The following is a 26,260-nucleotide window of genomic DNA, read 5'->3' as shown; positions in this document are numbered from 1 at the left end:
CCAAGGAAGCAAGAGCAAGGGGGCCGAGCCTTGGAGGCGCTCGGTGAGTATTAATTAAACAAACAAGTTGAAGGGGAATGCAGGTGGCTCCTGCAGAGGGCTTGCCCAGAGCTGGGGCTGGGTGGGAGGCGCAAGGCGGGGTCCCCCTTTCTCCCATACCATGGCACCGGGAACCCCAGTAGCCAGGGCAGCAGGCCTTCTGCACCACTTGCTTCCGGCACTTCCGTCTGCAGCCGCTCATGGACACCATAGAGCCCCCCAGCTGTACTTCGTAGCTGGGGGCAGAGGGTGGGCAGGGTGATGGAAAAGGCTCCCTTGCACAGCCCCCACCCAGCCTCCCCACATTGGCTTCCGGGGCTCCCACCCACCTCCCTGCTCTGCCTGGCCCAGAGCTGAGCACAGGGCCTAGCACATAGCAGGTGCCCCATAAACCCCTCCTGCCCCTCGCCTTTACCCCTTCCTCCCCGCCTATCTCCACCACCCAGGTGGGGCCACAGGGGCATGGATAAGTGAGTGCTTCTCCTCATTTTGTGGGCCTGTCAGGCTCCCCGAGTCCCTGCCACCCCACAGGATGCTCCTGGACACAGGCAAGGACAGGGGTGGCCCGCACCGGCAGTCCTGGGTTATCTGATCCGGGAGCTCCCGCAGCCAGCCTGAGGGACACGTCTGCTTCTTGATGGCCGCGCACGAGGTGCAGGGTACATGAGTGACAAACGTGGTTTTCACATCACAGCCTTTGAACAGCACCTGGGGCCACAGGCAGGGTGTGGTCAGGGGCCTGGACCCCACGCCCAGTCCTGACCCTGTCCTCAGTGCTGCAAGGGCTCACACCCCTCCAGCTGCCACTTCCCATCTGCTCAGGGGTCAGAGTAAGCAGAGGGTTCTGGGCACAGAGCTGAGTTCTTTGGGGGTCCACAGAATGCCCTGGGGGCGCTCAGTGGGAATGCAGTGCAGATGGGGAAGGCCCTGTGAAACCTGTCTGTTACAAGTTGTTAATGTCACATCGAGTCCTTATGTGCCCGGCCCAGAAGGCTCTGAGTCCACACCCTCTGACACTAGAGAATCTAGCCACGTTGCTCCCCCAAGCCCATTTCAGGTGAGAAAACTGAAGCCCAGGACATGGCCGCTACCCAATCTCATCCATGAACAGGGTGTGAACCAGGGACTAAACCCAGATTCCCAGCCTAGTGCTCACTTTTGCCTTTTGTTTAAAGATAAAGAAACAATAAATGACAGAGCTGATGCTGTCTTGGGAGGACACGGCGACTCCATCCTCAACTCATGGGCACAGGCACGATGCCGGCTCCAGCCATGCACCGTGGGGCTGGACCTCCAGCCACCACTCTGCTCTGAGCATTTTCCCACGTTGCTACCAAATGACCCTCTCTAACCAAGCGCAAGGGCTTTCTCCGCTGCCCAGGAATCAGAGACTAAGGGCCCTGGCCCTGAGAGGCTGGGCTCACGTGAGCAGCTGTGTGCAGGGACTCTGGTCTGCAAGTGTTTGGGCTGGGCAGTCACAGGAGACAACGGGCCATGCCAGCCTCTGAGGAAACCCAGGGCATCCTGGCTGGGGCCCCAGGTGGTTTCCTGAGGGAGGTGGTCATTGACTTGGGACCTGAAGGATGCATGAGAATTGGTCAAGGACAGTGCTCCTGGCCTAGGGGACAGCAGAAGCAAAGGCCGGGAGTGGAAAGAAGTAAAAACAAATGTGTGACAAGGCAGGCAGTGGCCCGAGGGGAGGCTGGAGAGGGGCTGGCAGCTGGGGTGCAGGAGCTCCGTAAACCTGGGTGAGGCAGAGTCCAGGGCAGCCCCATGACTCAGTTTATGGTTTTTTGTCTTTGAGAAAGGGTCTCGCTGTGTCGCCCTGGCTGGAGTGCAGTGGTGTGACCCTAGCTCACTGTAATCTTGAACTCCTGGGCTCAGGCGATCCTCCTGCCTCAGCCTCCCGAGTAGCTGGGACTACAGGCATGTGCCACTGTGCCTGGCCAGTTTTTTTTTTTTTTTTTTTTTTTTTGAGATGGAGTCTCGCTCTGTCGCCCAGGCTGGAGTGCAGTGGCGGGATCTCGGCTCACTGCAAGCTCCGCCTCCCGGGTTCACGCCATTCTCCTGCCTCAGCCTCCCAAGTAGCTGGGACTACAGGCGCCCGCCACTACGCCCGGCTAATTTTTTGTATTTTTAGTAGAGACGGGGTTTCACCGTTTTAGCGGGGTTGGTCTCGATCTCCTGACCTCGTGATCCGCCCGCCTCGGCCTCCCAAAGTGCTGGGATTACAGGCGTGAGCCACCGCGCCCGGCCGGCCAGTTTGTTTTAAATTGGCCCTCTGGCTGCTGCATGGAGAATACAGTCGCAGGGGCAGGTGTGGTGGGAAAGAGGCCATCATTACCTGAAGGTGGCCTGGGCCAAGGCAGGGACAGTGGAAATGGATTGGGAGATATTTGAGAGGGCTTGGGGTGGTGAGATGAATTGGGAGAAGGTCTCAGCAACTGGGTGGGGCGTGGAAGATGTGAGGAGTCCAGCCTGCCACCACGGCATGGGCACAAGGATGCTGACAAAAGCCCCAGGCCTGGAGTCCCATTCACTGGCCTGCCATAGCTCCTGGAAGTCCACCAGCCTTCTACGGCAACAAAGTCCCAGCAACCTTCAGCACTGAACCAGGAGGCGTGAAGCTAAACTCCCAGTTCTAGTGGGAGGAAGGGGCATAGGGAAGGGGCATAGGTTGGAGGGGAGGTGTTTGGGAGGCTTTGGGCATGGCCCAGAGAAGTGGAGATGTTCTCATCTTGAAAAATGCTGACCACACTGTGGTCCAAAGGGAGTGACCCCAGAACATCCCTTTCCTGGAATAATTTACAGATGTGTGGCTTCTCAAAGCAAGAGAAAAGGAGAAATGGTGCCCCTGACACTTTCTTATGGCAAATACCAGGGCCCCAGAGCCTCTGTGCTACCGTGATTTGGCCTTTTCCGCTCATGCCTCTGCGGTCTGCAAACAGGGAAGTTGCTCAGAGCAGCCTGTGTTGAACGGCGGAGCTGGGATGTTGTGGTCTCGTTCCCCATCCTGAGGCTCGCCTTTGCTGAGCCAGGGAGAGACTAGGAAATTGGGTAACTTGAGGGCTGAGCAGCTGCTGGCTCAGGGTAGAGGCTTGGCAGGAGGTGGGCTCCCCTCAAAGCCACCTGGCCAGCTGGGCAAAGCTGCCAGCGCGGTCACCATTCTGGCTGTGGACCAGCTCTTGGAGGAATGGTGGTCAGCTCTGGATAAGGGCTCAGGCTGAGTAAGACTGTGCTGGTCGCACTCTGAGACAGTCAGGGCTAGATGGAGCGATGGGTGAGTTAGGGCCCAGAAGGAAGCGGGAGCTTTGGGGCCTGGTGTGGACACTCACTCACAGGACCTGGGTGTTTGTAAACGTGTGTGAAATGCTGATGAATGGTAAGCCTGCTGCCACATCAGTGCTTCTCCGAGACCACAGCCGAGGGGCCCTGCCTCCGCCCCATGGCCTGGAAGGAGCATCGGCGGTCTGAGCCCACATCTTGCCGTTGGTCCAGCTGGGTGGAGTGAGGCTGGATCACGGCCTGAGTGCTGAGTCAGATTCCCTCCTTCCTGGGGGCACCTCGGGACTGAGCCAGAGCGGGTGCTGTCTCCCCCCCAACCCCACACCCCCCGCAGACCTGATTTTGCAATGTCTGCTTCCCACAGAGCTGCTGCTGGGGGAAGTTGAGGAGACACGAAGTGTGAAGTCTTTGGTGAGAAGGTGGATGAAATTCTCCCAAGCTGGGACCTGGTTCATGGGGACTTTTTAAGGCTGAGAGCCCAGAATCTAAACCCTGTCAGAGAGGAAGGAACCCCAAACTGCTTCCCCCTACCTTTGGTCAGATCAGGGAGGGTGCAGGGCTGGGTTCTGGACCGTGCTCCTCTCCCGCCACAGGCTCCACTGCACACACCTAGCCACGTGCCCTCGGTGAAAAGCTGCTGAATGGGCAAGTGCTAAGGGCCTTCCAGGAAAGCCTTCCTGCCTCGCTGCCCAAACCCATCTTCACTCCAGTCCTGTTGCTGCCCTTACTGAACAGGTTACCCGGGATATCCTTTCCCCTCAGAGCTTCCACTCCTAATATAGTTGTTCCTTGGTGTCTATGGGGGACTGGTTCCAGGACCCTCCTCAGATACCAAAATCTGTGGATGCTCAAGTCCCTGGTATAAAATGGAATCGAGGCTGGGAGTGGTGGCTCACATCTGTAATCCCAGCACTTTGGGAGGCCGAAGAGGGTAGATCACCTGACATCAGGAGTTCGAGACCAGGCTGGCTAACATGGAGAAACCCTGTCTCTAATAAAAACACAAAAATTAGCCAAGTGTGGTGGTGTGCGCCTGTAGTCCCAGCTACTTGGGAGGCTGAGTCAGGAGAATCCCTTGAAGCTGGGAGGCAGAGGTTGCAGTGAGCTGAGATAGCGCCACTGTAATGCAGCCCGGACAACAGAGAGAGACACCATCTCAAAAAAAAAAAAAAAAAAAAAAAGGCATCGAATTCACATATAATCTATGCACATCCTCCCGTATACCTTAAGTCATCCTTAGACGACTTATAATACCGAATACAATGTAAATGCTATGTACATAGAAAAGTCTGAACATGGGGTTGGGCACGGTGGCTCACACCTGTAATCCCAGCACTTTGGGAGGCTGAGGCAGGTGGATTACCTGAGGTCAGGAGTTACAGACCAGCCTGGTCAACATGGTGAAACTAAAAATTCAAAAATTAGCTGGGTGTGGTGGCGGGCGCCTGTAATCCCAGTTCTCGGGAGGCTGAGGCAGGAGAATCGCTTGAACCTGGGAGGTGGAGATTTCACTGAGCCGAGATCACGCCACTGCCCTCCAGCCTGGGCTACAGAGCGAGACTCCACCTCAAAAGAAAAAAAGTCTGAACATGTTCAGTAGAGATGCCATTTTATTTCCTGAATATTTTCAATCCAGGGTTGGTTGAACCCAAGTACAGGGTGCACAGATACAGAGGGCCAACTGCACTTACAGTGGCTCTCGGCTATGCAGGGTGCTGGGATAGAGGCCACGTAGCTGTGTTAGAGTGGCCAGCACTGCTGCAGCCCCATCCACAAGGAGTGGTCAGAGCCATAGGTCTCTGACAAGGAAAAAACTCGAATCTGAGGCCCCTCACTGACCTCTGTCCTCACTGCCCAGAGCATGAGGAGGTGGCGGAGGCCTTTGAAATTCCCTTGCATGGTACACAGGGGGAAACTGAGTTAAGGGGAGGGCAGGAGCTTACCTGCAGGGCTCTCAGCACAGCCCTGGAACCCTTGGCTCTTCCCCCATCACTGTCGCCTTCTCAGCCTCATATCTTCCTGTCCCCAGCCCTGGCCTGGTCCTGAAGCTGGTGAGGCCCTTCTCCCTGCTGCCTCTCTGAGGGACCACAGGCATCCAAGAGAAAGCGCCTGATGGTGGCAGGGGGCCTAGGCCCCTGGCTGGACTGCCTGTGGGATCCTGGGCAAGTCCTCCCCGCTCTGGACTTTAGTCTGGCCATCTGTGCCATGGGGATAGTGGTTGCTGCTCCAGGAGGCAGACACGCTCAGCCTCACAGGAGAGAGACTACCCCCATCACCAGGGTGGGAGGCTCTTCCAGAAGCTCCCAGAGGCCCCTACCATGGGGCCTGAGCAGACCTGCAGCCAGGAGCCTGTCACAGGGACCTGACCGAGGGGCTGGCTGTGGCTGCATACCAGGACCCTGTCTGCTCGCCAGCACACACGGATGGCCATCACAGGCAGGGGTTTGGAGCATGGCTTTAGAGTGGGAATGGCCTGTCCCCATCATCCTAGGGCTTCGGGTTCCTCACGAGGAGGACAGGAGGAGTTGCCCCGAGGCTGTGAGGATTCAAGGGGACCTGCCCGGGGCTGTGGCTGCTCTGTGGCAGCTCTGAGGCTGAAGTGTGTCCTTGCCAGCTGCTCATAACCCCGGACACTAAGGGTGAGTGACTCATTCTGCTTCCCGGTACTCTTGGGGCTGGACACAGGCACACACATGTGCACACACTTGCCCCACGTGAATCTGTAGTCCTCGGGGGTTGGAGGTGATCACATCTTCAACCCCCAGGTGAGGGCCACATAAGACCTGGGCCTCCGTCTGGGCCAGAAGGGCAGGACAGGCCTGCCTCTGTACACTTCAGCTGCACGCTGGGGAGCCCCGGCCCCGCATAGTCAGAGGAGGGTGGGCTGACACACCCCTGAACCCTGGGTGGCTGGACGCAGACCTCAGACTGGGGAGGTGGGCACAATAGCCAGCCCCCAGGCCTGCTAAGAGGCCAGACAGGCGCCAGCTGCGGTTTCTCCCCAGGCCCCTGCCCCTCCATGTCAGTCCCTCCCTGTTCCCACCGCTGGCCGGCAGGGCCCAGACGCCGTGTGCCCCTGCGACTGGCTCACACTTACCTGCCCCCTGACGAAGCTGAAGCCTGCCAGGCAGAAGGCCAGGAGGCAGAGTGGGAGGAGGCCCCGGGGCCCCGCCATGGCTGGTGGGCACGCTGTCCAGGACAGAGTCGGGGCGTAGGGAATGAGCTCTAGGAGGCAGGCACAGCACAGGCAGGCGGGACGGGGCGGGCAGTGGCCTTAAAAGCAGCCCGGAGGCCCCGCCAGCTCACCCCCACAGGAACCCGCCAGGATTTCCTCCTGCATATCAGCAGCCTGCAGGCGGAAGGGAAGGTGCTGGCCACTGACCCCCCATGGGCGGCCTGAGCCCTGCTCGGGGCTTCCCGGCTGGGACCCTCCTGGCATCACAACCTGGAAGTCCAGGCCACCATGAGCCCCGGGACCTGGGCTCTATCAGAGGTTCTGAAGCAAATCCAAAGGCACACGTGAACGAGTCCCCCGCCTGCGAGCCCAGTGTGTTTCATTCAGAGGCTCCTGGGGTGCTGGTCGGCGGAAGGCAGGGCAGCCCCTGAATGGGTCTGTCTGTTCCTGCCTCCACCTTTCCAACTCCAGGGCGCTCATGGGGCTCTGACTCGCTACAGGCACCCTGCTAGCCCACCAGACCCACATCCCCTCACTAGCCCCAGCCACTCCTGAGCCGCTGGTCCTGCCCGCCAACCCCCATCCACCCTCCCTGCCTCCCTATCTGCCCTCCACTCAGCAGCCCATGCTCAGCCAGCTTGCTGCAGCACCTCCAAACCCCTCTCCAGCTGGCTGGTCTCTCTGAACTCTCCCCAGACAGGTCTGCTCCAGCCGCGCAGGCCTCTCTGCTCCTTCAGTGAGCTCTCCCGGCATGTGCTGCTACCCTAGATTGTCACACTCTGGCTCCTTCTCACAGGTGGTCTCAGGTCAAGGGCCACCACTTCAGAGCGCCTCCCTGGTCTCAGCCTGCAGGTGGCCCTGCACCTGGTTCACCTGGCAGCACCAGCCACCAGCTGACATTGGCTTGTTTCATTTGTCTCCCCTGGAACATTGGCTGTGGAAGAGTAGGGGCGCTGTCTGGCTGATTCGCACAGTGGATGCTCAATACACGTGTGCAGAAGGAATAAATGAATGGAGGTGGCTACTTTTATGATCCCTCTGTTACTGGTGGGGAAACTGAGGCTCAGAGGGGCTGGGTAGCTTGTCTGAGGTAATCAGTTTTCATATCCAATCCCAGGGCTACTGTCTGAAGCCACCACTGCCTGCACAGCCAGCACCCCCAAGAGGTGCAGTGGGCCCAGGCTGAGGGCCTCTGCGTGCCAGGGCTGCACGTGGTGGGCCTTGCCTCCAGTTGTCACTACCCCCAACTGCAGACGGCGTAACAGTTGGGGAGACAGGAGTGGGCCAGAGCCCGGTGGCCATCTGTAAATGCTTTGGTAAAGGCCAGGTTGGGGAAAGTTTCTCCTCCCCAGCACACCTCCACTCCCATCAGTTTGGAGGGGCCTTCAGGCAGGCCTGAGATCTGGCTGGGATGGGGGTTGCAAGGGGAAACCCTCCCCACATTCCCCACACCCACAGTCTTCCTGGGGGTGAAGGGTCCTCCAGGCAGGACCCCCACTCTGCTGGCACCAAGGGAAACGGGGGAACAGAAGCAGGCCTGGGACCCAGGCTGGCCACGCCACCCACCTCTCCACAGCCCTGCCTGGCCTGGCTGCCCCAAGGTCCTGGGGACTGAGGCTCCTGGCTGGGCCAGGATGAGTTATGTGGGGCTCATAGGCCCTGCTCTGGCAGCAGGAATGGGGTTGGGGAAGAGTGTGGCATGGGGTTGGCTACCAAAATCCCAGGTCCTACCTCAGCAGGCTCCCTGAAGCAACCCTCAGGGAGGGGCCCATGAGCCTCATGTTTCAGGGACATGAAGACAGACACAGATGGGTATGTGCCCCTCCCTCCACTGTCCACCACCTGGGTCCACCTCCCCACAGACCTCCCCTGCTGCCATTCAAGGGCCACCTTGGTGAGATGCCCCGGCCCCCACCAGCCACCTCAGACTCTGGGATCTCTCTGTCCTCCTCGCCCCTCCCCCACTCTCAACAGGGGTTGTGAAACAGGTGGGGTTGGGCCCAGGGGTGACTGACACATAAGACCTGCAGGACAGCCTGAAGAGGGTGGCATGCCCCGCACCCAGGCAGAGGGGCAGCGGCTGGTGTGTCAGGGGTGCCCTGAGGAGTTTCTTGTTTGCCCTGCGCTCATGGTTTAGCCACAGCCCAGCATGGCACTGTCCAGAGAGGCCATGGCCCTGTCATGCCTCCCATGTTCCAAGAAGCATCTGGCTCCTGGAGGGCTGCTCCTTCCTTTCCCCCAACCCCTCACCCTCCTGTCTCCAGGGCACCCTCCCTCCCCCATGTGACCACGCCCTGGACGGAAGCCCTGCTGGGATCCCAGTGACCCTTGGTTTAGAAGATGCAGACGGTGTCAAACTCTGCTTTATTGGAATAGAGAATACAGGCAGCAGGAATCACGCTTGGTGCTGGCAGCTCCAGGTCCCCTGCCCCCACGGGCTCTCCCACTTGTCTGGATCAGGGGAGACCTCCACTTTGAAGAACAATATGGGGTGGGAGCTTCCAATGTGCATTCTGCTACCAGCCTCAGGATTAGCAGCAAGATGCCAACAGCAACAGCAACAGCAACAGCAACAGCAACAGCAACAAAGGACTGGACTCGACACTTCAGGAAAGGACGTGTAGAAGAGAAAGTCAGACCCACAGTGTCACGTGTTAACAACGGTCCCACAACAGCAGACACGACACTGGTGTGCACGGCTGTACCACCTGTGGGAGGCTGACAGCACACCGACAGCCCTGAGGGGCCCGGCATTCTCACTCCCAACATGAGAAAGAATTAACACAACACACACACATGTTCACATTCTCTGCGAGGACAGTCAAATTAAGGTACCAAAGGGAGGATAAAACATTTTTAGAGAACACAAAAGCCTGCTGCCCTGCCCCAGTAGGCGTCAGGCTGGACACGACAGGCTGGCTGTGGCCTGGGCTAGCCGGTGAGCTCGACAGGCAGCTCACGGCCACACAGGGCCTCCCACTGGCGAGCCAACAGCGAGATGAGCTTCTCTCTGCTCTCAGCACTGGGGACAAACACCTGCCACTGGACTTCACGGCCCTGGCTGGCTCTAGCCGGGCCACCTGGCACCTCCCCAAAGTGGTCCAGGGTGACACTGCCCATGAGGTCATGACCTTGCACGTCATCGAAGACGAGGGTGAGGGCCTGCGGGTAGGTCTGGTAGCCCATGAGCACTCGGTCCAGGTCCCGGACGCGGCGGCCATCGTCCAGCCGGTACCTGTCTCTCTGCGGCGGCTCTTTGGCAAACTCGGGCAGTGGGTAGTGGACACAGTCCTCATCCAGGAGGAAGATCTCGGAGCTGGTGAGCAGGAGTGTCTTGGGGCGCAGGGGGCCCCTGCAGCACCCAGGGGGTGGCATGCCCACCTGGAAGGCCTGCACGTACAGCAGGATGCTGAGGGCTGGGGCCTTCTCTGGCTCAGCCATCTTTTGGGCCACAGTGAACGTCAGGTCCCCAATCTCCTCCTCACTGGGGTAGGTAAACTTGACGCGACTAGAGTGGATCAGCTCGTAGTTCTCCATCTTCCCTGCAGAGAGATGCCACCTGGGCTATAGCCTGGAACCGGCCCCTGGTGGGGCTGGGAGCACCAAGGGCCCCAAGCCAACCGAGAGACCCCGGCATGAGACAGGCAGGAGAGGATGCTCCAAGTGTGGGGCCCACAGGCCAGGAGCCCAAAGCAGGCACTGGAGATGTGTCTGCCAGATGGTTGAGGGACTGCTGGAGTGGAGACTCTGCCATCGAAAAGCCCCACATAAAACCCTGGCCAGCTAAGTGAGAAAAGAGAGACATAGAGGCAGAGAGGGTTCTGGGGCACAGAGAGCCACCCTGGGGCCCATGACGTCTGTCCAGGCAGCCTGTCTGCAGCCTGAGCTAGACAGGGGTACCTGTGGTCTTGTTCCCAAACTCGGAGTAGAAGTCCTTGTCAACAGGCTCCGGCGAGGGCGTGCGTTCCAGAGAGGACAGCACGACCATGAGGTGCTGGAGGAAGCAGTGCGTCAGGTAGCTGTCCCGCGTCAAGCACGTGACCACCTGCATCGGGGTGGAACCTGCACGAGAAGGGGCTGGTCAGGGCCACAGGCCGGCGCTCCCCAGCCCTATCCCTGCCCCTTAGAGCCACCCCGAGTCCCTAGCAAGCCTCAGCCCAGAGGCCAGGGCCAGGAGGGCCCACACAGGAAAGAATCATGGGGCCCGGGAGGAGGCCATTCCTTCAGGCCGGAAGAGCTGAGGCATTTTTCTGGAAGGGGAGACAGAGACATTAGGCAAAGAGCTTAGCTTTCTCTCCTCAGGAAATGTGAGTCAGAAACATCCTGCCCGAGACCAGGGCCCACTCTGCTTCTGTCCGGGCCAGCGCTTGCCGCACACCCTACCTCCTGCTCTGAGCCCTGGAGCGTGAGTTCTGCTCTCTCAGCAGTTCCTGAAGCTGCTTCCTCCCACCCCGGTTAAGAAGTGGCTCTTGAGCACAGAGATAACTGTCTATGATAACCCACCCACGTACGGAAGGTGGAAGCCCACTGGTGATGCTGGCCTTCACCCGAAATAGGACAAAGCACAGAGGGTCACCCACCCGTCAGCCGGAAATGCTGGTCGAAAAGCCCCACATTGACTGACTGCAGGTCACTAAGCTTTAGCACGAAGCACTGGGAGATGTGGAAAGGGCTGTTGTTGTAGTCGGTGTTTTTCTGATGCCAGAAATCTGTGTGATGGAGAAAGGGACAGAGGGAGGCGGTGGCAGGCAAGCACAAGGTTCCTAGGTGTGCAGCACATCCAGCAGGAACAGGTCCTCTTGGCTGGCCTGGCTTCCACCCGTGCAAAGCCCCATAGGCAATGCCCTCTGGAGTCGGAGCCTCTTCCAGCTCAGGGGAGTCACCAGGTCGCTGGCTAGGGCTTCCTGTGCAGCCCCAGGGGCAAAGGCTGCCTAACCCCTTCTCATCACTGGCTGTTCCCAAGCAGTCACCAGGCCCTGGCTCAGTGCATTCTGCGTTCACATCTGGCCATGGACCCCTCCCTCATGACAGCTCCCTTCCTCAGACAAGGAACTCTCAGCCCACTGCAGCCAAGTCGCTGACTGCTGCCTGAAGCCACACAGCTGGCTCCAGAGAATGACCCCCCAGGCCTGCCCCAACCACACACTCCAAGCTCCTGAGCCCCAGCAGGCCCTGTGCCTACCCTGCAGTGGCTCTGAGAAGTAGCGGCGGAGGCCGTCGTGGAGCACAAAGTACACAGCCTTGGTGGAGAGCAGCACGCAGGCAGTCACCTCCAGCCCTGGGGTCTGGTAGAACACCACCGAGGACCACATGAGGTGCCTCAGCTCCTCGTTTTCAACCTGAAGACGGGGGGCCTCCTGTCAGCTCCACCACCCTAGCAACCTGCACATACCAGGGACATGCCCACAGCTTCCACAAGGAGACATGGGAAGCCCCTCTTGGCTCACCAATGAATCCGTATGCTTCAAGGCAGAGAGGAAGAGAGGGGTGGGAGATGGCTGTTGGTGGGAGGTCTACCTGGGGCTGGAAGTGGCACAGGAGGTGGTGACACAGCACAAATGGCCAGGGGAGGGCAACTCAGGACCTCACTGCCCAGGTCCTCAAAGCTGTGAGCAGCTCAGCTGAGGACTCCGACATCAGGGAAGTCCAGGGACCTGAGGCTGACCTGAAGCCAAGCTTGGCCTCGCCCTCAGGACTGGCCGTGCCATAGCTGGCACCCACACCCGGGCCGCTACCTCAGCAATGCTGCTGTGGAAGAGCTCGATGATGGCGCTGCCCCGCAGGCTGGCGACGTGCCGGAGCGACGGGCAGGCAGGCAAGTGCGAGGGGATCTGATTCTCCTCCGAGGTGGCCTGGATGAGGTGCTCACTCGGGTACTGGGCAGGGGCCTCGGCTGGGGGTGGGGCTGGAGCTTCCACTGGCGTCTCCTCTGGGACCAAAGCTGAAGTTGAGGCCTCTGCTGGGGCCGGAGTCTTCGCTGGGCCTGAGGCTGAGGCTGCTGCAGGGGCTGGAGCTGGGACTTCCGCTGGGGCCGGGGCCAGAGCCTCTGCTGGGACCTCCTGGGGACGCTGGTCATTGCTGTATCCCCCGAAAAACACCATATTAACAGCGGACCCCAAATGAAGATTCACATCGCATGTGCAGCTTCAGAGTGAGGAGACTGTGTGCATCACACATCACCTCTGGGTTACTGGGGACTTCCACCAGCTTCTCTATTGGAGAACAGAACAGCACGGCCGGGCACGGTGGCTCATGTCTGTAATCCCAGCACTTTGGGAGGCTGAGGCGGAGGATTGTTTGAGCCCAAAGTTTGAGACCAGCCTGAACAACACAGCAAGATGTTGAGGTGGGTGAAGCCTAAGGCAGATCCTGGCCCACAGAGCCATCCGTGGGACTGTGACCCTGGAGGAGGTAGTGCCCAGAGGCCATGCTTGGGCCCAGAGGAGCACAGCAGCCAGGGTGACAGCTCTCCTGGCCTCGGTGTGCTGCAGCCTGTTGCTCTCCCACTGGGCAGGCAAAGGTGGGGCAGCCCCCTTGGCCTGCCCTTCATGGGTGGCAAGAGGCTGGGCCAACCCATTTTGTGAGAGGACAGCTTTCCTGGGCTTCTTCTACAGCACTGAGATAAGGAGCAGCCTGGCACCAAACCTGGGGTGGTGATGTAGAGGGAGGCCCGGGGGGGGCGAGGGGCAGGGGGGGAGGGGGCCCAGCTCTCGCAGCAACTCCCAGCCCACACTAGCCGCAGATGCTGAGATCACACACATGCCAGACCCATGCCCCCGGGGCCCCTGAGAGCTGTGCTTGATCTCACCTGGCCCTGCGCTCGGCAGGCTGGCCATCCGCAAAGGAGCCCTGGGGGCTGCCTCCCGTCCCGGGGGTCTTGGCGATGACCACAGTCTTCAGGTCCTGCAGCGAGGCCCGCAGCTGGTTGTAGACGCGCAGGAAGTGGAACTTCTCGTGGGGCAGCACGAAGATGGCAGTGACAAAGCGGTACCCCACGAGCAGCTCTAGCACGTGGCCATCAGCAAAGGCGCCCCGAGGCTGGGTACAGCTGCGTGTGGGGTCCAGCAGCACGGTGGAGAGCGGCACACGGCTGAGCTTGAAGCTGTTGCGGTTGCGACAGTTGTGGGTGCCACGGTTGGGCATGGGGTTGAAGTCGGCCTTGATGACGTTGAGGTGCTGGGGCGTGAGCAACAGCCAGTAGGGGATGGCGGCGGACTTGACGGCCTCAGAGGGCGCGCAGCAGGAGCGCCGCACGGCTGAACAGAGTGTGCAGCTGGCCCACTCGATGTTGCCTGAGTAGTCCCCGGCGGCCGTCTGCACCATGCGCTTGTCACTGTAGACCAGGTAGACGGGGAAGCAGCCCTGGCTGCGCTCCTGGCAGCCGCCAGCCACCTTGTAGAAGGTGAGCAGCTGGCGCAGGAACTCCTGCAGGCTGGTGTGGCTGCCGTAGAGGATGGGGCTACACAGCATGGCCATGTGCTGGGGTGCAAAGCATGAGCGCAGGTCCGCGTGGAACTCGTGCAGGTTGGCGGCGTCCGAGATAATGAAGAGCGTGTTCTCACTGTGCCGTACCTTGAGCACCAGACACAGCTCCGGCATGAGGAAGCCAAACTCGGTGAGGTCGCCATGCGGGAAGCAAAAGACAAAGCGCAGGGAGGAGAGGATGTGCTGGCTGCTGCCCCGAGACTCCTGGTGCGGGATCTCGAAGACTGCGATGCCGAAGTCGGTGAGCACAAGGCAGGCGGCGAACTGGCGGATACTGCCCTGCACATGGATCAGGAAGCACCACAGCACCTTGAGGATGCGGATGTGCTCCAGCAGGAAGTCCTCGTCCGCGCCCAGGGCCCATTCCAGAGCCAGGCGCTCCTCCTCGGCCTCTTCATCCTCCTCTTCCTCCTCCTCTTCCTCCCCCTGGCCTCCTCCCTCCTCCTCCTCCACGTCTGGGGGCCCCATTTCAAAGTAGCGGTTCTCAGCCACGTCCTCCTCTTCTTCCTCCTCCTCATCCTCCTCCTCGCCCTGTTCACCCTGGCCCTCCTCCCGCTGGTTGGCAGCCTCGATCCAGGCAGGCAGCTGCCGCTCGATGGCCTGCCGGATCAGTGTGCTCAGGCGCTGGATGAAGTCCTGATTGGTGGCCGTGTAGCCAATGCAGGTGAAGGGCAGGAAGATGATCTGGCCAGACCCCGGCACCACCTGGACCTCCGGCTCGGCATGTTCTGGGCTGTGCAGGGAGAGGCCAGGTCAGTGGCATGCTGGGAGGGGCCCCTCCCACCTCCCACCTGCCACATCTGGAGCCCACTGCTACACCCTGACCCTGAGAAACCAACCCATGGGTCTCCCAAGCCTCCCACATGGCCAAGTCAGTTCCCAGGATGAGGGCCCTGGTGGGAGCCAGTGCTGCCTGCTGGAAGGCTGGGTCGCCAGTTTGGTCAGAGTCTATGCTTCTAGGGGCTTGGACCATAGGTGCCTGGCACAGCTATGCCCAGACCACACGAGTTCCCACAACAGAAGCACTCCCATGGACTTCTAAGTCATTCAGTTGCTGCCATAAGCCCCGGAGAGAAGGAACACTCCAGGGCATGAATCTACTTGTCACCCCTGGTGGCCTCCGGGGCAGGGAAGTGGGCTGGGGCAGGTCTTAGGACCTTCACACTTAAATTCCAGCTCTTCTTGGCCACCGCAGCCCTCACATGTAGAGTGGGAGTTAGTAAGCTTCTGTAAAGGGTCAGAGTACACATTTTGGGATTTATGGGCTACCATGTCCATACGATCTTCAGCAGCCCTTTAAGAATGTAACTGTCCAACATGGCGAAATCCTGTCCCTACTAAAAACAGAAAAATTAGCCAGGTGTGGTGGCGGGCACCTTGGGTGGCTGAGGCAGAAGAATCGCTTGAACCCGGGAGGCGGAGGTTGCAGCGAGCTGAGATCGGGCCACTGCACTCCAGCCTGGGTGACAAAGCAAGACTCAGTCTCAAAGAAAAAAAAAGTAACTGTTATTCTAGCCAGGCGCGGTGGCTCATGCCTGTAATTCCAGTACTTTAGGAGGCCGAGGTTGGTGGATCACTGGAGTTCAGGAGTTCGAGACCAGCTAGGCAACATGGTGAATCTCTGTCTCTACTAAAAATATAAAAAATTAGTTGGGCGTGGTGGCGTGCGCCTGTGGTCCGGGCTACTCAGAAGGCTGAGGCTGAGACAGGAAAATTGCATTAATCTGGGAGGCGGGGGTTGCAGTGAGCCAAGAACACGCCACTGCACTCCAGCCTGGGCGACAGAGCGAGACTCAGTCTCAAAAAAAGAAAAAAGAATGTAACTGTCATTCTTAGCTCCCAGGCTGTGGGCCACACACAGGCCTTGATTTGCCAACCCCTGGTGTAGGGCAACATGTGCTGAGCAGAGTTTAGGTATTAGAATTTGGAAACAGATTGAAAAGTCCATCTCATCTGTGTCTCTTTAGAGGAAGAAATAGTTCTATAGGCCTTCTGTGAACGGATTTTTAAAAAAACCTGACTGGCCACCCCTGGCCCACAGCAGTGTGTGTGCATAAGGCTGTGTGGCCAGGCCCAGGTCCCTTTCCAACCTCTTCCTTACCTTGCACCACCAACAGCTCCTGGCACGTCCCTTAAATCATCGGAAGCTGCCTGATGGAGAAAGAAACACAGTCAGTCCCCACCTACTGCAGCCAGCCCCAGCCATTTACTGGTTGCCAGACCCTGAGCTGGGCATTCTGCCCTCCATCACCGCCCTGAGGAGGCTCCCCATCCCCACGCTGTACCCTGGAGCCCACTCTGGGACCCTGGGGCCCACTCTGGGACCCAAGGGCAGAGACCCACTTGGTTATCCCACCAGCACACAGCAGGGCTGGGATTCCCACTCGCAACCTAGGGCCAGAGCCTCTCGCCACTCTCCAGGGATCCAGCATCTGACTGCTCCTTGTGCCACGCAAGGGTCCAGGTAGACAGTCTACAAATTTGGTCCGACCCTAACTGGCCAGCAGTGGACACAGCCCTGGCAAGTCCCTCCCAATGGTCTCTGTGCACTGGGGAATACCTAGGGCTTGGGAATCTCTTGCTGTGTGACCCTGGAAAGGGTGATGGCAGAATACTGTGGAGTACTGAGGACAGACAAGGACTCTGCAAACTGTCCCAGTGTCACAAGGCCATAACCTTGTGCTGCTGCAGAGATGGGGCTGGAGGGAGGCCCAGGCACCAAGCACATTTGCGAAGCACACAGCAAGCACCCTTGCTTTCCTCCTGTCTTTCCTCAGGACAAAGGAAGGGGCCCCAGAACTCTCAGTAACAACCACAGAGGAGGCGCCAGAGTGAGACTGTTTCCCAGACCACCAGGGTGACATGCGGAAAGGCGCCGAGTGGCTCCAGGGGTGCCAGGAAACAGAGAAGAAACCCAAACAAGCCCCTGCACGAGGGTCTTTTGAAATGCCTTCCCCAGGGAAGCCTGCTCACAGGGTCAAGGGCCACCCTCTCCACCTGCCCCCCTCGTGCCCTGGGCCCAGTGACAGAGAACTGCCTGTTCCCATCAACCAAGGTGGGTGGGGAAGGGAAGGAGGGAGGCTGAAAATAAACCCTTAACCACTGTGTTTGTCAGGAAGACACTCAACCAGAGACAGGTCCAAGAGAAAGACCGTGGCACAAAGCAGAGGACGCCAAACCCTGGAAGCATCTGCCTCAGCTCCAGCTAGGCCACTTCCTACTGCACACAACCCCAAGCAGAAGAGTCCACCCACAGATGTATGGTCCCCAGAAGCGGGAAGAGGGCATTACCTGTCCCGCAGGGATGGACTCCAAGGAATCAGAACATCCCTGGGCAATGGGCTGGTGCTCGGGAGTCAGACTGTCAGTGGACGAGAGGCTGCTGGCCAGGGCCTCCTCCTGAACGAACATGATTCCTGGAGAGACCAGGGCGGGTGGGCAGGCAGGCAGGGTGGGTGGGGCGGGGAGAGCGGCTGTTCAACAAGTGGGGCTGGGCCCCTCAGGCTACTGGCATGGCGGGGGTTAGCCAGATCCCAAAACCCAGCCACATGGATTATAGAAGAAAATGTTAAAACTGAAATCTCAAAATAACTCAAGAAAGAACAAATGACTGCTTATCTAATCTCAGGGCAGGGAGAAGCATTCTGAGAATAAATGCAATGGAAAAAAACTGAGATGTGACTACATAAAAATTAAACTTCCACAGACACATTTTTTAAAAACCAGGATAGATTAAAACCAGATGAAATGAGAAAAGTGTTTGCAATATTTGACAAGGATTTATATCGCTAGTCTGTAAAAAGTTCTTACAGATTACAAAAATGAGGGAAGGTTGGAAACCTCATTAACAGACTGCAAAGGACGTGAACAGACATTCCGCAGAAGAACGGCCAGCGGATAGAACATGAAAAGAATGCTCGCTCTCAGAAGTACACAAAGAAAGGCAAGCTGAAACAAGAGACAAGTGTTGCCTCTCAACTTCTGCCAAAGTCAGACTGACTGTGTGGCCTGGCCCTGACCTCGCTGGGCAGAGGCCGGCACAGGCATGCAAGCTGGCCCACCCATCCAGAGAAGAGTTTGGAGGTACATCCATCAAGAGCCTGAAATGTGTTCACTCCTGGAGCATTTTCCCAGACGGTGACTAGACATGACCCCGTCCCCTGATTTGTCATCTCTGCAGGACTCATAGATACACAGGGCACGGGACAATTCACCAGGGGGCCAGCCCTTGCAGGCCTTGGTATCCAGCAGGGCTGCTGAGTCCAGCCTGAGCCCACATCCACAGTCCCACTTACCACAGGACGTGCCCACTGACCTGCCCTGGGGCCACCTCCCACGGACAGCAGCACTCTGACCCACTGCGTCCCGTAAATGCACAGTGTTCCTAAACCCCGCTGAAGCTGTTTTATGAACGTAGCCTATCTGGACCTGTTACTCCACCTCAGATCACCTCTAGACCACTTGAAGGTAAAGCCTTTGTGAACATGTTCCTGACTGCCGCCAGCAGGGTGAACACTGGGCATCGGCCGCCAGTCTCACTGAGGCCTACAGGAGCCCTAGGCCTACCTCCACAGCCCAGCATCGCCACAGCCCAGTGAAATGACCCCGAGTCCTCTGAGCCCCACAGGTCGAGACCCCCGACCAGCTCAGCTGCTCCCCGGGACAGGACAACTCACACAGCCTGGGTCCTCTGCCCACAAGCGAGGCAGGCAGGTGGGCCCAAGCTCAAACGCCCCCACGAAGCGAAGCAGCAGGGGGTAGGCAGGCAGGAAGGATGGCAAGCACACAGCCATGCATGAAGCACCCTGATGGGCCACGCTGGGCACCTGCCCAGGCCGCTGCTCTCCTGCAATCCACCCTCTGCCTGCTAACGTTCAACTCCTATTCACCTTCGAGATTCACCTCAGACACCACCTCCACTGCAGACCTTCTCTGCTCTAGACAGTCTACAAAAGCCCCACACCATCCTACCCTGTTCTCCTCCAGCACATGGCTCATCCTCCCGCATGGCTCCAAGCTCCCCAGGGGCACAGTCTGGGTCATCTTGAACCCCCTACTAAGGATGTGGGAAAGGGCAGCCCTCATCGACCACCTCTGTGGAGCTCTGGGTAGTGCCAAGCGCCTCCCCAGCATTCGCTCATGCATGCCTCTCGTTATTTACCACATTTCATCAAATCTAAGATGCGGCAGGTGGCGCCATCTTGGTCCTAGCGGAAGGTGTCCACGGGTTTTCCACGACTCCATCTCGAATACCAGCTGGCTGACAGCGACTATGAGACGCCACTGACTGAAAGACGCACCTCAGTTTCAGAGAAGTCACAAGGTGGAAATGCGTGCCTCTTAGAATCAATGAAGTAGGGTGCGTCCACTTCACAGTTGAGAAAACAGCTTCAGAGGGGCTACAAGTTGCTTGAGGTCCCACAGCTAGGAAGCTGGCATGCGAACTCAGCTGACCGAGCCCTGGCTCCTAACCACCTCTCCACACAGCCTCCTCTCAGCCCCTGGGCCTGGCTGGACAATCAACTCTGGCGACCACCCCTATTGGTCACAATCATCCATGGCTCCGACAGCGCCTGCCACGACGGGAGGCTGGGTGTTGTCTGGACAGCGCCCCCTTCAGGCAGGCCCGAGTGCCAGTTCCTTCGCAAGCAGGCTCCCTTCTCGGGAATCAGGCTGGAAGCAACAGGCATGGGTCAGCAAAGCTGCTCCCACGCGCTAAAAAACCCTGTCCATCCAGGCAAGACCCAGGAACACGCGGCTGAAAAAACACACGGGGAGGCCTCCAAATCAGTGAGAAAAAGACCAACACCTTTTGCCACTACCTCCCACAAGCCCTGTTTGGACCAAGGAAATGTGGACAGGGACAGGGACAGTCTATCTGCTCCCGTCCTGGACCGTGGCCTGTACAAACAAGTGGTCAGAAAGGGCACTCAGCGGATAGAGCGGAGACATCAGGAGAGTCCTTAGGGGTCCGATCTTTGCTGTTTCTCACCAAAAGGAAAGAGAGGTGCACACAAAGACATCCACTGCAGTTTTATTTAAGAGGTGCAAATCTGGAGGCCATGTCCAGAAGTCCAGCGATGGCGGGGACAGACTGCAGAGTGCCCCTCTGCAGAGTGTCCCCAGGGCACAAGGGGAGTGAGGAGGGGGCTGAGCTGGTGCAGAGGCTTCTCCGACAATGTGGGGGGCTGCCTGCAGCTGCAGCCTGGGGACATGGTGCATCCCCACCCATCCAGGGCCTGCTCTTCACTGGCTCCTGCTCTACCTGCCCACTCACTCACTCACTGATCAACAGATGCTGGCAGAAATGGCTGTGTCCCTGGCCTTGAGAAGCAGATGCAGCTCCCTGTCCCCAGAGGCCTACAGTCATATGGTACCTCCACAGGCTCGCTTGGCTGCGCTACAGGAGGCAGCGTCAGGGAAGCTTTCTCACCGTGATATAACCTCCCTGGCTTTTATGTAATAAAATGCAACCAGAAATCCTTAGTCAAGAGTCTGACAGAAGCAAAATGGGCAATCATCCTGGCACCTAACCCCATCGCTCCACGCTCAGGAATTCTCTTCCACATCTCACAGGTGTGACCTCAGTGTGCTGCTCTGCGTTGGGCCTTTTGCCTTAACTTGAATGCTTCTCCCCTCTTCCTGCCCAGTCTTCCTGTCCCTGCTGGGAGGGCTGCTGAGCATTCTGCACCACAGCCGACTCTCCCTCTCATCCTCCGATGTTGCAGTTGCAGCCCGTGTTTTGGCAGTGGTGAGCATTTCACCTCCCCTTCCCGGTATCTTATCCCTCTAAGAGAAAATCCCCACCAGTGGGGTTACCAGGTCAAGGGGTGGGAATGTTTTTCTGGCTCTTAAAACATCGGGTTGAACTGTTTTCCCAAGACCTCACACCAAGTTCTGCGTCTCCAGGAGCCCGGGCAGGCGGCGTCCTTTCCTGCGTGTCCCGAGCCTCGGCTCCACTCGGGACGGCACACCCTCCCCTCTTCCGTGGGGGCCGGGCCAGCAGACACGCTCATGAGACCTGCTTCACTCACTCATCTCCGAGGATGCCTGGGTTCAGAGGTGAAAGCCCTTTGAAAACGCTAAGATAGTGGGCAGACGAATGGGCCTGGTCTTCCATGGGTCCACAGGGACAGAGATGGCCCATCTTGGCCCCACAAACATGGTGTTCTGGGGCTGGGTCACCCCACAGAGATGAGGCAGTGATAAAAGCAAGCTTTTCCCTGCACAGGGATTCGGGCTCCAGACAGTAAAGTCACAAGCCCGGCTTCCTGTAACCAGGAGCCAACCTGCTTGTGCTGCCGGTGAGGGAATGGGTCCCATGAGCCAACAGCCCCGAGCCTGTTCAGAGGGCAGCCTCAGGGCCTGTCAGACACCCTGCGGTCTCCTAGAGGAGCTGGATGTGGGCATCAGAGCAATTGGGAGTCCTCACCAAGCAAGCAACAGCTGGCATCAGGCCAGGCACCCCTGCCATGTGTCCCCCCGCGAGGACCAGCCTGCAGAAGGCACTGCCCTCCCTGTGTCTGACCCTGTTGGAAGCAGGTGCTGGCACCTCTCCCCCAACCCCAGCCCAGCCAGGGGGCCCAGGCAGGGCTGTGTGGCTCCACTAGAAGCAAGATACATACACGATTACCTTGGTTAGAGAGGATGGGCTGGGGCAGGGAGGCAGATGCGGGAGCCACAGTGGGAGGGGAGCTGCTGGGTCTGATGCAGGGGGCAGCTGAGAGCCGGGAGTCTTCACCACCCTGAGGACGAGTGCTTGAGTCAGCCCGGGAGAGAAGAGGAAGCACAGAGCTCCCCAAGGCCAGGGGTGTGAGGAGGGAGCGCAACGGTTCCCACCAACTGGGTGGTAAAGATGGTCTCATCATATCCTTAGAGCAGGAACTACCACTGTCCCCACCCCACAGAGAACAGAGAGGCCGCGACTTGCCCGAGGTCATGCAGCCAGGGAGGGGCGCAGCTGGGACTCGGCAGCCCTGAGCAGTCCCATGGCCCAAGCCCCCCAAACTGGCTCCTATCCCGGCTGGCTCTGCACCACTGCCCTCCCACCTGCCACACAAACCCACCTTCTTCTCTGGGTTGCTCAGTTTGGACTTGACCTCCTTGGCTTTCTGAATTGCTTTCAGCACTTCCACAGTGTCCAGCTCCTTCTCTGTGGTCACTGTGTCATCCAGACAGACCTAGAGCATCCAGAAAGTGGCTATCAGCATGGGGACTGGTGATGGCTATCAGCATGGGGACTGGTGATGGCTATCAGCATGGGGACTGGTGAGCATGGCAGGAGGATGGTAGGGCTCTGCTGAGGAGGAGGCGTGAGCACCTGCTGTGGGCCAGGCCACGTGAGGACACCATAGGCTGAGGGAGGCTCAGCCTGCTCAGAGGCGGCTCTTCACTACTCATGGAAGTGACCTGGGAATGCCTTGGAGGGGTCCAGGGAGGTCTCACATCTGTCTCTGGAGTCCCTCACCAAGAACAGGAGGCAGCAAGCTCTTGGGCAGCTGGGACTAGGGTAAGGGGGCAACTTGAACTAAGCCCCCAGTTAGAGGTGGGAGGCAGACTCTCAAAAGAGCGATGGGAGAGCCTCCTGGGTAGGGGAACCAGCGGCAGGAGAGGGCAGGGCCCCCGCCTGCAAATGTGGGAGGGAGTGGTGGCTGGCAGGCAGTGGGGGGTTGGGTAGGGTGGTTGAATGAGGGAAGGTCCCAAGGGCCTGGACAGGAGCTGACACTCTGTGGCCTGGGAGCTTCCCAAAGTCTGCAGCCCAGGAGGGGAGGAGATGGCATCTCATGGTCTTGTGACTGTGTGGAGGAAGGGGCACTTGCGGCCACAAAGAGGGAGGTGGGACACAAATAGACTTCCAGGTATTTTCTGACCTGGGATTTTGGGAGAACAGAAGGTCCAAGGACCAATCAGAGCATCACGGGGACTGCTCCAGGCCCAGGCGATGGGTGAACCTGGTTAAGGGTGTCTGGTCAGCATCGTGGCAGGTGCACAGACACCGCGAGGGGCAGCAGACACCAGGCTGGGCTACACTGGCAAAGGCAAACCCTTTGGGTTTACAGTCAGGCACTATGGCCACAGGTTGTCCAGGAGATATGAATATTTTAAGGATCTTATTTCTGACCCTTTCCTAGAATAAACAATGTTATCCCAGACAGTAGGGGCAGGAGATGCAAGGGAGCTTTTTCCTGGGGAGATAGTGGACTTCCCAGAACTGAAAAGCCCCTAAGGGACAGGACCTCTTTCTGAAGCAGGCAAGGGTAGAACAATGGACATATATCCCCCTACCGCCCATGCAGACTTGACTGCATCCCGAAGGTCTCCCTGGGCTCTTCTGACTGTGCTGGGGCTCACCTCTGAGGCCCTCTCTCCGAACTGAGCCAGCACCTTGGTCCGGTAGTCGGGGATGATGCTCAGAGGGTTGTTCAGCAGAGACACGTGCTCCAGACACGGGAGGCTGCCTATGCTCCGGACCTCCTCCATCTGCAAGGTATGAGTTCCATCCCCTTTGGTCCCTTCTCTTAACACTTCAGCAACACGCCAACACGTTTCATGGTCTCTTTTAAATGAAAGGAATCTTAACATTCTTCTTTAACATGATACACACCAAGGCACAGAAATCCCAAAACTGTGAGGTCCTTGGGCTCACCTGTTCGATCCTGTTGTCCCGGAGATCCAGGTTGACCAGTGAGTAGAGCTTGTGCAGGCCACTCAGACTCTCTAGGAGGTTGCCTGCCAGGTTTAAGGTCTTGATGTTCCCCAGCTTGGTGTGAAGCCCTTCCAAGGAGGAGAGCTTGTTGTAGGACAGGTCCAGATGCACAAGGTTATACAGGTGCTGCAGCGGCGTGGAGAACAGCGTAAAGTGGCTCAGGTCAAGTCTCCAAAGATAGGGGCCTGACACTAATGGCAGGATGGGCCTTCCAACCCAAACTACCCAGTTCTGCAAGTCACTCTGACAGTTATTTTAGGAAGGGAAGTCCCTCTTCTCTGCCGCACATGCCACAGCACAGTGGCACCCCTGCAGACAGTTGGGGTGGGCGTTGAAAACATGGCTGTCCACCTTCAGGACGGAGGTGCATCATCATGCCTGGTTTGTATTTACTCATGCTTCCTAATTCTTTGGAACTAGAGCAACAATCACTCAGTGCATTGCTGGGATCCTAAAGCGAAGACAGCAACCCCTGCCCTTACAACCCCTGGCCAATTCCCAAGGCTGCGTCAGTCTCCTGAAATCTCAGGGCGGGGCCTTGGGAGTGTGTGCGGGCAGCACTGGTCTCCAAAGGCACTACCTGCAGATTGTCCACAACCAGCAATCCATTGTGACTCAGGTCCAGGAACTCAATCTTTGGGATCAGTTTCTTGTGAAAGAAAAGAACACCCGATGTTACTGTAGGGGGCTGGACCCCAAACACGGTCCCCGACACAGTGGACGGGCACCCCAGGACGCTTCCTCCCGACCATGGACTCCCACGGGCCGTCCCTGCAGGACCACTGGTGGGACATCTCCCGCTGCCCAGCCAGTAGCACATCCAAAGGCACACACAGGGCCCCCAGTGCTGGGCACTACTCAGTTTTCATGGAACACTTGGCTTGTGAAAATGACACACAGCAAGGTCCCAGACAGAGAAGAGAGTCTGTTCTTCTTCAACCCTGCCCACACTCCCTGAGCAGCGCAAACACGGGAACGACACTCTTACTGCCCAAATGCCCTCTGGGTGTCATTCTTTCATGGGCACATCTGTCATCTAAGGAGTGATTTTTCTGCTCCACTCTTTGGAGCAAATGTCATCATTTAGTGTGTTATAGTTTACCAAATTTACATGAAATTATTATGTTTTATTTGGTTCTAAGTACTACCTCACCAATTTTAAATGATCCCATTTTTTTTTCTTCTTTTGAGACGGAGTCTCACTCTGTCGCCCAGGCTGGAATGCAGTGGCCCTATCTCAGCTCACTGCAACATCCGCCTCCCGGGTTCAAGCGATTCTCCTGCCTAAGCCTCCCAAAGTAGCTGGGATTACAGGTGTGCACCACCACACCCAGCTAATTTTTGTATTTTTAGTAGAGATGGGGTTTCACCACATTGGTCAGGCTGGTCTCGAACTCCTGACCTCAAGTGATCCTCCCGCCTCGGCCTCCCAAAGTGCTGGGATTACAGGTGTGACCCACCACGCCCAGCCCCCATTTTGTAATTAACTTAAAATGGCAGGCAATGCACAGAGCACTAGATATAGGTTTTCCGTGGTCCTTCCTAAAAAAGCTGAGTTAAATACTCAAACTCAGGGTTTGGTGGGGCCAGAGAAACCCCTGGCACCTGCTGCTGAGAGCATACCACAGACTCGTCGATCTCGGAGACGCTGTTGTGGCTCAGGTCAAGCGTGGTCAATGCCTGCCAAGTGGGGATGACGGCAGTCACAGGGCCTTCTAGGGTTGTGCCTTCAGGCTCCCACTCATCAAATTCTGAGGCTTCAGGAACAAGGACTTCCTGCATAAAAACATCTGTGTGGAGCACCACACTCGGGCCCTCACGCAACACTCACTGGGAACACAGTCGTTGCAGAATTTAAGGAAGGGCTGGAGCATATTTAGCATGTGGAAGTAAACTTGCATTAAAGCATGCCTTTGGTTCCTATGTCTTTAAACGATTGTGAAATCGTTCAAAGCTGAACAATTTACCACATAACAGCCACTTAGAATTAAGTCCTGGCCCTGCTTTAGGAGCAATGCTTTTCAAGCCCAAAGGGCCTTTGCCCTGGTGACCTGGTGATGCCTTTTCTAGCCTTTTCTCTTTTTTGAGATGGAGTCTCGCTCTGTCACCCAGGCTGGAGTGCAGTGGCGCAATCTCAGTTCACTGCCACCTCTGCCTCGCAGGCTCAAGCCATCCTTCTGTCTTAGCCTCCCCAGTAGCTGGGACTAGAGGTGTGTACCACCATGCCTGGCTAATTTTTGCATTTTTAATAGAGATGGGGGCTTCACCATGTTGGCAAGGCTGGTCTCAAACTCCTGACTTCAGGTGATCCACCCACCTCAGCCTCCCAAAGTGCTGGGATTACAGACGTGAGCCACAGCGCCTAGCCGTTTTTTCTTTGAGACACAGTCTCACTCTGTCACCCAGGCTGGAGTACAGTGGCGCCATCATGGCTCACTGCAGCCTCAAACTCGCAGGCACAAGCAAATCCTCCCATCTCAGCCTCTTGAGTAGCTGGGACTACAGGCGTACACCACCTTGCCCAGCTAATTAAAAAATTTTTTTCTGTAGAAACGAGGTCTCCCTACATA

The 26,260-nt window shown here is 57.8% G+C and overlaps 2 protein-coding genes across 13 annotated transcripts in view; both read right to left on the bottom strand.

Moving 5' to 3' along the window:
- The window catches only part of STAB1 (stabilin 1), a 29,158-nt gene extending 22,583 nt beyond the window's left edge, over window positions 1-6,575 (bottom strand). For all 8 annotated transcript variants that reach the window (XM_005264973.4, NM_015136.3, XM_005264974.2 and 5 more), the window contains exons 1-3: window positions 6,422-6,575; window positions 611-747; window positions 160-275 (exon numbers count right to left, since the gene is read on the bottom strand). In XM_005264973.4, coding sequence (XP_005265030.1) covers window positions 160-275; window positions 611-747; window positions 6,422-6,499 — 331 coding nt within the window. In that variant the 5' untranslated portion in view covers window positions 6,500-6,575. The remainder of the gene's footprint in view (window positions 1-159; window positions 276-610; window positions 748-6,421) is intronic.
- The window catches only part of NISCH (nischarin), a 37,465-nt gene continuing 20,049 nt past the window's right edge, over window positions 8,845-26,260 (bottom strand). The window contains exons 8-21 of one of the 5 annotated variants that reach the window (NM_007184.4): window positions 25,314-25,466; window positions 24,271-24,339; window positions 23,631-23,816; window positions 23,336-23,464; window positions 22,051-22,164; window positions 21,618-21,729; window positions 17,276-17,400; window positions 16,086-16,135; window positions 13,308-14,717; window positions 12,235-12,577; window positions 11,682-11,838; window positions 11,080-11,208; window positions 10,400-10,561; window positions 8,845-10,041 (exon numbers count right to left, since the gene is read on the bottom strand). In NM_007184.4, coding sequence (NP_009115.3) covers window positions 9,431-10,041; window positions 10,400-10,561; window positions 11,080-11,208; window positions 11,682-11,838; window positions 12,235-12,577; window positions 13,308-14,717; window positions 16,086-16,135; window positions 17,276-17,400; window positions 21,618-21,729; window positions 22,051-22,164; window positions 23,336-23,464; window positions 23,631-23,816; window positions 24,271-24,339; window positions 25,314-25,466 — 3,750 coding nt within the window. In that variant the 3' untranslated portion in view covers window positions 8,845-9,430. Of the gene's footprint in view, window positions 10,042-10,399; window positions 10,562-11,079; window positions 11,209-11,681; window positions 11,839-12,234; window positions 12,578-13,307; window positions 14,718-16,085; window positions 16,136-17,275; window positions 17,401-19,145; window positions 21,730-22,050; window positions 22,165-23,335; window positions 23,465-23,630; window positions 23,817-24,270; window positions 24,340-25,313; window positions 25,467-26,260 lie in introns of those variants that run through there. The other 4 variants (XM_047447373.1, XM_006712955.4, NM_001276294.2 and 1 more) reach the window with 4 other exon arrangements.

This window comes from Homo sapiens, chromosome 3 (assembly GCF_000001405.40).
Source record: "Homo sapiens chromosome 3, GRCh38.p14 Primary Assembly".
Taxonomy (NCBI): domain Eukaryota; kingdom Metazoa; phylum Chordata; class Mammalia; order Primates; family Hominidae; genus Homo; species Homo sapiens.
Note: the sequence above shows the minus strand (reverse complement) of the source record. Positions and strands in the feature narration are given on the sequence as shown.